This window comes from Homo sapiens, chromosome 2 (genome assembly GCF_000001405.40).
Source record: "Homo sapiens chromosome 2, GRCh38.p14 Primary Assembly".
In the NCBI taxonomy this organism is placed as follows: domain Eukaryota; kingdom Metazoa; phylum Chordata; class Mammalia; order Primates; family Hominidae; genus Homo; species Homo sapiens.
In genome coordinates, this window is record NC_000002.12 from 173863080 (window position 1) to 173876181 (window position 13102).

Sequence of the window (13102 nt, forward strand, 5' to 3'; positions counted from 1 at the left end):
GGAGTTGCCATCATCTGAAACAGGGAAGACCCGGAGCAGAGCAGGCCAAACAAAATCCAGAGCAATAGAGAATGTTGCAAAGCACTCAAGGAAAAACATTTGTCATACTGTTATTTCATATGTTCCAGGAGCAACTGGGTTTTAGTTATAGTTGGAAAAGATAGTTAGGTGTTCCCTCCTCCCCTACTCAAAAGGATAAACTAACCTGTCAGATTACCAAGTCCAAGCCAAATGGCAATAGTGACCTGGCACCAAGTACATCTGAGCTCTTACATGGCCCTGAACACGGCCCAACAGATACAATCCAGCCAACCGTGGTGGAGGCTACAGGCCAGGTCTCACCATGAAGTCAGTTAGCAGTCACTAGCAGTCATGTTCTCTGCACGCTCCTCACATCTTGATTCTCTCAGAATTAACTTTTTTTTTATTTTTTGAGACAGAGCCTCACCCTGTCACCCAGGCTGGTGTGCAGTGGTACAATCCCGGCTCACTGCAAGCTCCACCTCCCAGGTTCAGACAATCCTCCCACCTAAGCCTCCCAAGTAGCTGGGATTACAGGCAAGTGCCACCACTCCTAGCCAACTTTTGTATTTTTAGTAGAGACGAGGTTTCACCATGTTGGCCAGGATGGTCTCAAACTCCTGACCTCAAGGGATCCACTCACCTCAGCTTCCCAAAGTGCTGGGATTACAGGCTTGAACCAACATGCCCAGCCTCTCAGAATGAACTTTTAATACCATTTGGTGCTTGGCTTCTTCCGTCCTAGCGGCGAAGAGCCTTTCTCTGCTTATAGGGTCACCAGCATGGCCAGGGGACCTGCCCAGGGCACAACGCAGCCAGGCTCAAAGAGCTGTTGGAGACCTTGCTGGGTCAACTTGAGACCCTTGTAACTAACCTTTGTGAAAATCGACAAAAATATGACAGGACCACCCGAATGCAAAAGCTGGTCATCTTCTTTTTAAAAATGCATGAATGTATACTCAGTTGTCTGAAGAGTAGTTGGCTGTATCCTATACTTGCAGTGCTGGGATCCTCAAGAAGCATCGGTTTCATGATTTTACAGGTCATGAAAAAGAGTCTACAGATCAGCTGGAGGTACACAGCTGGTTAGCAGCAGAGCCTAGACAAAGACCCTGCCCTCCGATCCCATCACAGGGGTGCCTCCAATACATGAAGTGCAGCTCTCTGTGGTGCAGAAGTGTGCCAAGAAGTGGCCATGCCAAACTGTTCTTATAAAGACAGCTCTGAAACCTCTTAAAAACAGGGAGAGTTGAAATTGTATGCGAACAAGATTTGTATGGCTCTCTCTGGAAACATCCGAAGATCCTAATTCTTTTGATCCGTGAGACTTTGGGATAGCATCTTCCTCAGAACGTGATCTCGAGCAGCCACATGTCACAGCACTTCCCCCAGGTGCTGCTGAAATGTTTGTGCCATGATGCAAGAAGGGTCAGGAAACTTCCCATTATTATATTTGCTATTATTTTTTGTAATAACCTTAGAATATATCAACGTTGGTGACCACCACTTTCCAGCACTTCAACCCCCTGGCAATCTTTCTTGTTTCTTGGAGAGCTTGGCAGAGTCATCTTGGAACAGAGAATGTACACTTCAGTGCTAAAGGAAAGATGCTCTATGTGGCAGGCAAAGAGCCCAGAGGACATTCTATGTTGGAAGAAGGAGAACATCCTCTCACTCAGCATCCACCTTACGGTGACTGGACCCCATCAGGAGTACTCAGGTTTAGGAAGGAAGGTGGCAACTTTACTCTGTTAGACTGTGGCTGGTTTCCTTGTAGCAAGGTTTTAACGTTGTTCTGAAGCTCTGAAATATTTGTATTGTCTCTCAACAATCTTTCCTTCCTCACTTCTAGCTCCATTTTTTAAGTCTTCTAGAGCCAGTTTTTTAAAATGATCTTAAGAATTAGATGTGTATGAACTTGGCATGAAGAACTTGCTCAATAAGTGTGCATTGGATGAATTACTGTAGTTAAAGTTTTAAAAGCCATATGACACTGAATGCTATGGAGGAATTTTTTAAGTAGTAAGAACAATAGTAATGGGTTCATTCAGCAAAATAAACCAGGACATATTTGTTAAGCAGTTATCTTTCTCAAAAAATAGACTCATTGAGACTAAATTCAGCAGGTACCATCAATGTATTAACATCAGAATGGCGTCATGTGATATGTAGAGTATTTGCTTAATAATCCACAGGACCACCCAAAACAAATAAAATGGTAAAGTGTTCTAATCACTGCTTTACTTATTTATTTATTTTGAGTCAAAGTCTCGCTCTGTCACCCACGCTGGAGTGCAGTGGCACCATCTCAGCTCACCACAACCTCCGTCTCCTGGGTTCAAGCGATTCTCCTGCCTCAGCCTCCTGTGTAGCTGGGATTACAGGTGCACACGACTGCGCCCAGCTAATTTTTTGTATTTTTTACTAGAGATGGGGTTTCACCATGTTGGCCAGGCTGGTCTTGAACTCCTGACCTCAGGTGATCCACCGGCCTCAGCCTCCCAAAATGCTGGGATTACAGGTGTGAGCCACCACGCCCAGCCCACTGCTTTATTTCTTTATTCAAGGATGATGTAAATACATTGAAATGACAAAAGCATTTGGAACACTGAAAAAGCCTTCTATCTAGAAATATGCAGCCATAAATTAGATGAGTTTAATACTTTGTGCCACTGTGCACTCTTGTGGGATTTTGATTGTATGCAGAGTACTTAATTTCTTTGGAAGAGATGCTTAAATGAAAGTTTCATCTCCACTCTTATATTTCAGCTCTCCTCTACCTGTTTTTGTGTGTGGTTGGTAGGGGGTTACACAAAGTACTATGTCTGACTTCACATGGATACGCAATCAATATTAATCCCGAATAGTTTAAACAATATGTTCTTCATAAAAAACAGGCCTTCATTGCTTTTCATACTGTGAGTAAGCAGTCACACACACACAAAAGACAAATACTCTGACACTCTACAAATTAACTCTGTCAGTTTCCAGAGTATTCACCAAAACAATACTGTAGGAATTACACCGGCCTGGATTCCAGCCCCTTTAACACACAACTGATTTGTCCCACCTGGCAAAGGGCCAGTTTCATGCCAGACAATGAACTTCTAGGAAGACTGTGCTGTACTTATAAGTACACACATTTCTGGTGCTTCTCTACCCCTCTATCTCTTCTGTATTGTCAGGGGTCGTGCTAAACTGTTCTTTAATAAGTCACCCCTTCAGCACTGCCCGTGGCCAGTGCTGCGTGGCCCGTGAAGCCTCACCAGTGCTTAACTGGGGCACATGGCGAACTCCCCATCTCAGCCCTCTTGCAGTTGGGTAGGGCATGGGGCTAGTCCTACCCAATGAGCCTCAAGGAAAAGGGAGTGCCATTGATGGGATAAAGCTCAGAAAAGTCCATGTGGGCTCCTCCAGGGCGATGGGGAGGCAACACACCCCAGACAGTGCAGCTACAAGATAATGGGGCCTCAGTTATCGTGGGGGTCTCTGTCCAGGACTGTGTGGAGCACAGCCCCCTGCCAGCTTCAGTGGAACAGGCAGCAGAGCTAGGAGTGAAGGCAGCTGTAGGGCTGTTTGTTTCTACAGTATTCTGACGAATGCGATGAGTTGGCGTTGCTCCTGAGTCACCTGGACCAGGTATTTCCCCTGTAAAGGTTCTGCCCACTCTCCAGCAAGCCTACTTTCCCGCCCTGGAGCAGGTCACACAAATTTAGTTGCACAGATCCAGGATTCCCCAGGAGGTGCCTTCAACCTCCAGAAACTCCACCTTCCTCTAGCCCCGCCTCAGCGCTCCTCTCCTCTTTCCAAACACATTGGTGGGCATTCTTGGAAGACAATTGCTGGTAATCTCTGTGCAGCCAGGATTCACTTCCAGGACCCGCCTCCCAGAAAGCCCAGGCCCAGACACCAGCTCCCGCAGGAAGTTCTCCTGCCCTCAGCTGTCCCCCTGGCTCCTTTCCAGCCCCTCACTGAATTCAGTTCACTGCCAGCTTTTCTGAATAGCCCATGAAAACTTGCCTCCCTACCTATCAGAGATGCCACCTTCTCCCTCTGTTCATAAGTAAAGACTCATGTTTCTGCATTTTTCTCTTCCCCGTCTGGTAGAAAGAATCAGCCACTTTCCACTGGGATCCAGAAGCTGAAATCTGAAATTCAGCCCTGAGGTTACAAAGGACGATCTCACAGATTGTCTCATCTGTTCCAACTCGGGCAATTTCTGCACAGATGCTTTCAGCTAAAATGCTTCCATGCTCCACTTCTGATTTTCCAGAATTTCCTTGTCTGTTAGTTTAAGCCTACCCCCTCCTGTTATTTTTAGATTTGATTTTACTCCTTGTAAAAGGCCAGGGGTGGGGAGTTTTTGTGGGGATGGAAGAAAAGAATTGTTTTTGTCTTTTTAATTACAAGCAGCTGACAAAGACAACTCAGTCGTGGAAAATGGTTGAGTCGAACGGCCTCTAGCTCCCACTGCTGCATCTCCTCCATCAGCCGCAACTGAGCAGAGCAGCAACAAAGCTAATCAAGTGTCCTCTGCCTTTTCCAGAAGATACACGTTATCTGAGATATCTACAGGGATTCCAACAGAATTGGAATCCTTCCCTTTCCATTCATCCTCATAGGTCAGTTGTTTTGTAAAGCCAGAAGGGAACGTCCATGACTATCTTCATATTAGCAGGGAGGGGTCCGGCACCAAGGGAGGTTAAGGGAGTGACTGAGATGGTCCAGCCTATTGAAGTCTCTAGTGCCCCCTTCCAAATACTGAGCCTGTCTTTTGAATCCACACTTCTCAGCTGACCTAATATTTAAAACAGACAACAGTTCCTTCAAGCGAGGAACCTCTTCCTTGTATGGTCTATTTCCCAAGTCCTAACGAACCAGAGCAGCGTTGCATGTGCAGATAAACAGTCAGAGGACCACTGGGCTTTCACTCATCCTCCCATACCATCTTGCTGTTGTTCACCTTCTTTCCAAACACTTTCTGCTTGTTTTTCTCTCTCTCAACCAAATGTAGCCCTGTGCATACTTTATGAGCTTGGACAGTTTATTTACATGCCTTTTTGTTAACTCTAAGACAGTATAATTCCAGATTTTCTTACAAGACTTCATTTAGTTTCAGTCTTCAAAGTCATATTATTAAATATGCTTACAATTAGAGTGTTCTGCAAGTACATATAATAATTCAAAAGTCCCGTCTCTGCTCTCAGGTAATTCACACTCTGAATGGAACACAGCATTTGTTGTGGCACTAGCATGGAATACAGTTTTATATTGTCAAACTCTTGCCTTTCTTCCTTGTTCCCCCAAATGTAAGAAGGTCATGGGGTGGAAGTGACCAAATGAATTGATTACAAATTGTCAGTGGAACTAAGCCAGGGAAGTCCTGATGATGATAAACTCAATGCACGTCATATGGCAGACAGAAAAAAACATGTGATCTGGAAACTCTGTCCTGCTCACCAGCAAAATTAGGACACTTGATTGTAAAAAACAGAAACTCAACCTAAGCTAGTTGCTTGAGCAAAAAGGGAAACTTATTAGAAGGCTCACATACCCATCTGGAAGGAGGAGGTGCCACTGGACATCAGAGACGGGATCAGAGACTCGCAAGCCCCAGCATGCATCATGCTCACATGCTCACATGCACTCTCTCTCTCTCCCTCTCTCTCTCTTTCTCTGTCTCTCTGTCTCTCTCTCCTCCCCTCTGCATTTCTCTGTGATTTAGTTTTATTTCTACCAGACTGGCTTTGCCTATGTAGTGAAACTATGAGCCAGTCTTCATTCCCCAGCTTAACCATCAGGGTAGGATTAACCCTTTTTCTGCAGTTTCAGTTGCAATTCCCCTGAGAAATGATTCGGTTGGACTGACAAGAGTCAGGTGCCTATGCCCACTCCTGGGTATTGAGGGCCTTGCTCAGATGAGGGGAGATCATTGAGCCCCACAGTCACTTCAGTTTACATCCACCCCAATATGTGGCAATGGGCAAGTTCCTTCACTCCTCTGAGCCTTGGTTTCTCCATTGTAAAATGAAAAAGTGAGTGAAATGAAAAAGTGAGTGAGTAGGGACAAAAATAATACCTTCTTCAAAGAGCTGTTGATCATTTTACATAGATAACTAATGTCAAAGCCTTGGGCTGGATTGGTATATGAAGCATCAATAAATGTTCATTTTTCTTCCAAGGTGAATCTTAAAGTCAAGGAAGAAGTCAGCACGTTAAAATGGAGAGGAAAATTATTTGAAGCACAGGGAACGGAATGGGAAATGCGATACAATTCCGAGTAAGAGGCACTACAGGAGTTGTTAAATGGAAGGTAATTGAGCCTTAAGTCACTCCCACCCATAAATCATCCACAAGATCTGTGTTCTAGGAAAAGGGGCACTAGCATTAGCTATTGGGAACATGGAATGTCAAGTTGACCAATTAATCTGTAGCTTATAAGACATTCTTTGCTATTGAGGGGAAGATTATTTCAGTCAAGTAGCATTTTAGGGCCAACATAAAAAAGAATTGTAAAAGATATGGATTTTGATGAACTCTGAGGAGCAAAAGCTGCATTTGCTCATATTCCCTTTATAACTTTTTGGAGTCAGTCCAATGAGCATACCCAGCTGCGCAGTCAGATAACTTGAATTTACTACTAGTTCTACAAAAATATTCCCTATGTTGTCTTCCCTCATACATTTTATCCTTAAGTTTTATGAAAGGAAAAATAGACTTCATATTATGCATTTCTTAGGTAAGAATACTACACTGGTGGAGTATTAAAATCAGTGGATTATAAAATTTGCAGTTTCTCCACAGCTTTGCAAGTTTAGTGCATCTACGTTTTGGCCTTTCTGCATTTGAATCAATTTGACTCACACCAACATCTGTTCTTGATAAAATAACATGAAATGTAATATCTTAATGGTGGCACAGAATCAAACTCCACTGCCCTCTTGTTTCACATCCCTTTCTTTGGTATTCCCCACATCATCTTCTCCTCCAGTTTGTAACTGAGTGTGACATCTAACAACTCACTAGAATTCACCTGCCCCAGCCTTTCATTTCCCTGGGCACTCGTGGGCTACTGAGGACAACGGCCACTGCTTCATCAGTGTGGGGTGTAGAGTCTTATCCAGTTGTCTCACCACTTTGTCAACTTCATTCCCCTCCTTGAGCTTTGGCTTGACCCAGACCTACTGTTTCAAAGAAGTCTTCTCTTACTATTCCAGTGCACAGTCACATTCTTATCTAACACTTACTTAGAGCACCAGTACTTTGATCTTAATCAAAGGCTGCCTGGTATTGCAATTTAATTTTTGCATGCCTATGTCTGGGACCTTTCTGTGGTCAGCAGTACCCAACACAATGCCTAGCACAATGCCAAGGCACAGCAGAGGCTCCATAAATACGTGATGCATGAATGCATACATGAACAGAATGCTTTCTACATGGGTTGGCATTTCTAGTCTTCAGGAATTGAGGTGTATGTCAGACCTGAGTCTAAAGACAGCAGATTTTGGCTCAACTCTGTTGGTTCTTCCTATAACAAATTGTCTCTTGGATCTGGAGAAGCTAAGATCAGCATATGGAGATAGAAAGAAACCCCATGTAGAGATGGCATGGAGTTATGGCCAGGCATAGGGTGGGGACAGAGAAAGGAGATGAGCCAGCATCCCAAATCCTGCTCCAGGAAGCCAGTGACCAGCATTCTGTCCCTGGTCAATCACTAAAAAGCAGGTTCTGTAATACAGTGAAAGTCATCTAAATTCCCAAGCCCAAGAAAATTCATAGACATCTACCAATGTGTATACAGATTCCCACCTCTCCATCAGCAGAACATTTCCTGCAGGGGTTAGAAAGCATCTATTTGAAGGTCTAAGAAACAGACCTATTTTCAGCCTAGCACAAGACTTCCCAACCCAGGAGAAAAATCACCTGCAGGCCTGAGGGCTGCTGGAATAATCAGAGCAATGTGGCCAGGGCCATCAAGACCACTGGCAGGTGACCCTCAGAATTAGGGACCAGCTATCCCCTCTCCCTTGACACATTGGACACCTAAGCATTCCCTATTCCAGAAACCAGCTTGACTAGAAGAAGGTGGAAGAGGGAGAAACTCCCAAAGATTGAATATTGACCAATAAGTGCCTGAGCTAACTGCTTTAAACCAGAAAATATTGAGGTATATGTCTTTAGCTTTCAAATATAAATTCTTCCCCAGCCTCCAAACCATTTGTTGAATAGGGTTCAAAAATAAGTTGAGATCAATTACATTCTGTTTTTTTAAAGGCCTACAATACTGGCCAATATTCAGCAAGAGATTTATTGCTTTGCCTAACTCATTTCATGCCATCCACTGGAAGACCCAATAGTAATGTCTAGAGCTTGAGTTTGGGATGAAAAGAAGGGAAAGTCCTATGATATGAGGAAAGAACACTTGCAGCATTGCTCTACTAATATATTCACTTTAGCCTTTTGTTTTTCTCTGCTTCGTCAATACGTTTATTGTCTTATCTGAAAAATACTCATAGAAAATTGTTAAGTTTAGCACTCAGCAGATCTCAGAGCTCCTGAGCTCTAAGGAAGCCTGCCTGCTTTTGAGCTACCTGATCATTCTTCTGGGCAGGGGACAGTCTGGGGGACAGGTCCCACCTCTTCTTTTTAGCCTCTTTCTTGGGCTTCTCAGAGAGTGAAGTCTCTCCTACAGCAGCATGAGCTCCTCCACCAAGTCTGGAGTTATGCAGTTCTTTATGTATTGTGAGAACCGTTTCCTATAAGGATCTTCATCTTCTATTAGGTGATGCCTATAATCTGCAACATTCTGTCCTGTGATGTGCTTCTAATGCACTTGTGCATTAAATTCCTTGCTTTCAGAATCATATCCAGGGAATTGTTTGGTACTTTGTGGGATAGACAAGCCTCCATCCACAGCTTCCATGGCCCCAAAAACTTTACTGTCAGTGGTGGTTCTGGCAAGGCCTGCATCCAAATAGTAGGTGAAGGCATCAGGCTGACCATCAATGCTCTCCACATCGTATTCATCTCCAGTCACCTCCTCTTGGCCTTCCTAGATGGCGTCCATGCCAAACGTGTGGAGAAGCCTGCAGGCCAGGACGACGTGCTGAAGCATAATTTGTCAGGCCAGGCTTCACACCATATTTTGGTACTTTGTGTGCATAAGGTGCACGGACATTCATATCCCCTTGCATACAGGCATAAGCAATCTGACAAATGATAACTCTGTTAGGAGTTACATGAACTATCATCCTGGATTTGGACGTGTACTTATTTTCATCCTGTATTACCAAGCGTTTCCAAGCATAGTAATCAGTTTTACCCCCTCATCTACTAAATTTCACTTGGTATCGTTTAAAGTAGGCCTATTCCTGACAACTGTACCAAATGCCATCCTGAGGAACAGAGACCTATGTCTGAAGCTCGACACAGACCTGCGGGCCCAATATCACTAGGGGTGTTGTGGGGAGCTTTTTTTCCTTTGAATTACCATCTAAACCACTGTCAACTCTAAATACGAACATTTGTTTTTCTAACCTAGGCTTGTGTGTCTGGTTCCTCACTTGGTATTGTTTTAAGGTATTGGTTCCAGGCCCCCTGACAATAAGAACCAAAAGATGCCTGGTGACCAGATAGTCCAGGCGCCTTTCTTGGAGAGGCCAATTCAGCAGGCTAGAGTGGGACCCAAGAATCTTGGGTTATTAACAAGTGCCCAGGGAGGGTTGAGAAACACCGCTTTAAGGCGGTGGTTCTCAAAGTGTGGTCCTTGGGCCCACAGCAACAACATTTCCAGGGAACTGGTTACAAATGCACCACCTCAAACCTGTTAAACCAGAAAATCTGGGCGTGGGACTCAGTAACCTGGGTTTACAAAAGCCTTTCAGGGAATTCTTACATGCTTTAAAGTTTGAGAACCACTGCCTTCAGGAAATGATAAACAGGCAGTAAATAACAATTTATTAACTTAAACCATTCATTCATCGGTCCACAGCCCACCCACACCAAAAGACTCAGCAAGAATCTCTCCAGTGTCCTGGTGCCCCTCTGGTGTTAGGTGGCTGTGACCATGGTTCTAGACTCAGCCACACATTTAGAATCACCTGGGGAGCTTTTAATGCTCCTGCTGCCCAGACAGCACCCCACACCCATCAAATCAGAACCTCTGAGCGTGAGAACCAGGCATCTGCACTTGCTTAAGCTACCCAGGTGATTCCGATGTGCCGACCAGTTTGGGAACCACTGTCAGAGCACCTAACAAAGCCTCTGAAATCAGACTTGCCAGAAAAGATAACAATTACAAGACACAGACAAGTAAGGGGGTAGGAGAGCATAGAGAAGGCCCAGCAGGGAGCTTCCTTCATTTATTCACTACTGTGCTTCAAAAGAAGTGTTTAGAAGCAAGGGAAGACATGTAGGAAGCTATCTTTTACAGGATAAAAAGACTAGAAAGGTTTCCCGGAAGTCACTGGGGAATTTGGAACACGCCCTCATTCTCCTGAACATGCCCCAAGACTCAAGAAGTGGATAGGTTGGAGCAGGAAGGATAAAAGTTCTCAACTGCCCCTCCTGACCCTTCCTGAACACACTTGAGCACTACCAGCCCTTTAATTCACTTCTCCTGCCCTAATGGAGATTGGCAAACAGTGGCTGAGAGCACAACTGGGTCCCAGGTTGCAGGATGATCATGAAGATGATAGTGAGAAAGACAGTGGGGGAAGGGGAAGGAAGAGGAGAAGGAAGAGGAGGGAGCTCACCTTCCTGTGAGGTTCCCATATGCTAAGCCCAGGGCCTCAGTCATTTTCTTCTTTAACTTCACACAGCATCTCCATTTGGCAGTGGATGATCTGAGGCCAGAGGACTTGCCCCAGGTCATTTCTGTGAGTGACAAAAGCACTCTCCAATAGAGACAATGAAGCCTCAAAGGAATCAAGGATGTGGGGGGCAAGCAGGAAAGAGACTCTGAGAGGGGAGACACATGAGGCCCCTGGGCGGGGCCCACAGCATAGGGAGACCGTGCAGAAGTCAGCCTTACCATCTACTTTAATCCAGGGGTGAGGTTCTGGATCGTGGGGCAGGAATGGAGGCTTCCTGTGGCATCCAGAGCAGCTGGGGTGAGGGAGAGCGCACGGGAAGCGGGCCTGTGGCAGTGGCCACGTACTGACATACATGGATGGATTTCCACATCCAGACAACCAATGTAGCTACATCAGTGTGTGTCAGCGAAAGGTGAGCCCTGGTTTCACCTGGTGCGGATATAGAGCAGAAGGTTTTTTGTGGTTTCAGAGATATCTTTTAAAAGCCCTTTGGCATCTTCCTTAAGCCTCGTTCTTAATGAGGTCCCAGATGTCTCAACTGGGCCACAAGCACTAGCATGTCTAACTGCATCCGTGAAGGTGGGTCCCCCTCCCCTCCACCAGAGGGCCCATCCTGGGGGCTCTTTTCGAAAGCCAGTGCATATAATTGTTGCATAGGAAGAACCTGATGGGTACCGTGGTAGGGAGAGCAGGGGAGAAATTCCTAAAACATTACACAAATTTATCTCAAATTTCCCATCTGAGCTGGAAGAAATGCCCCAAAATATAACCCACAGGAGCAGCTCTTTGCTTCAATGTTGCAAGTTTTCAGTTAGACAGGAAAGTCTCAGCTTAGGCAACTTGAGAGCAAACCTCATTCAGTGAAGAGGCCCACAAGGTCAGAAGATTGGGACCTGGCTGGGAGTCTCAGGAGAATACAGTGAAAAGAAATCACAAGGTTGCTGCTTCAATGATGTAAATTGAATTGTGGAATAAACATTCATAAAGAAAAATATGGACTGATATATACTGTCAGGCAATATTATGACAAGCATTTTGCACAGATTTAAGGAAATCAGAGCACAAGAAAGGGGAAGCACCCAAGCCAATGCCTGCCTATGCCAGGCAAAGGGTGAAGCATGATCAGCCAAGCATCCAACCACCAGTTCACAGTTACAGGGTAAAGTGAAAACTAAGCTGTTTGGTTGTGGAATGGACCTAGCACTACACAGATCCCAATCACTGACACAGCATTTACAGTAATAACAGCCAACAATTACAGAACGCTCAAAAGTCCTTTGAGAAGCAGTCAAATGAAACTCACAGCATCTGCTGTGGGAAAAATGTTGAGGATATTGTCCACTGTATCACCCAGGTCCCCACAGGAAAGACCCCATTAAAAAATTTCTTCTTTTTTTTTTTTATTGAAAGCTGAGACGAGCTTTACTTCCCTTGAGGAAACAGTCTGGTCTGTTTTGTCATTCCTGAGCACGAAAATGATGTCCTAACTGTTCATTTCTCTTTTTTCTTTTTTTGAAACGGAGTCTCACTCTGTCTCCGAGGCTGGAGTGCAGTGGTGCAATCTTGGCTCACTGCAACCTCTGCCTCCCGGGTTCAAGCGATTCTTCTGCCTCAGCCTCCTGAGTAGCTGGGGCTACAGACTTGCACCACCATGCCCAGCTAATTTTTGTATTTTTAGTAGAGATGGGGTTTCACCATATTGGCCAGGCTGGTCTCGAACTCATGACTTCATGATCCGCCCACCTCGGCCTCCTAAAGTGCTGGGATTACAGGCATGAGCCACCACGCCCTGCCTCTCTCTCTCTCTCTCTCTCTGTCTCTCATTTTTTAAAGCTTCGGGTAGCTCACAAACTCAAAATTCAAATATAGCAGAGGTCTTGATCGCCTATACCACTCATCTCAAAACCATTTTTTAATCTCACCGTCCCCATAGGGAAAAATTTAAGGATAACTCCCTACTAGATGTATATTTATTTATTTATTTATAAATCATATACATGGTCAGGCATGGTGGCTCATGCCTGTAATGGCGGCACTTTGGGAGGCTGAAGCAGGTGGATCCCTCGCATCCAGAAGTTTGACACCAGCCTGGGTAACATAACAAGATCCCATCTCTACAAAAAAAATTAAAAATTAGCTGGGCATGGTGGCACATGCCTGTAGTCTCAGCTATTTGAGAGGCTGAGGAGGGAGCATCACTTGAGCCTGAGAGGTTGAGGCTGCAATGAGCTATGATTGTGCCACTGCAGAGTGAGACCTTGTCCCTA

General features: G+C 45.0%; 1 pseudogene, besides 1 other annotated feature; it reads right to left on the bottom strand.

The window, feature by feature from the left end:
• RPL5P7 (ribosomal protein L5 pseudogene 7) lies at positions 8493-9488 on the bottom strand (annotated as a pseudogene).
• Positions 11955-12084: a silencer, noted in NCBI's record as "silent region_12117". NCBI's record gives its function as "represses an Ori minimal core promoter by ATAC-STARR-seq in GM12878 lymphoblastoid cells {active_cell/tissue: GM12878}" and the evidence as "EXISTENCE:reporter gene assay evidence [ECO:0000049][PMID:35858748]".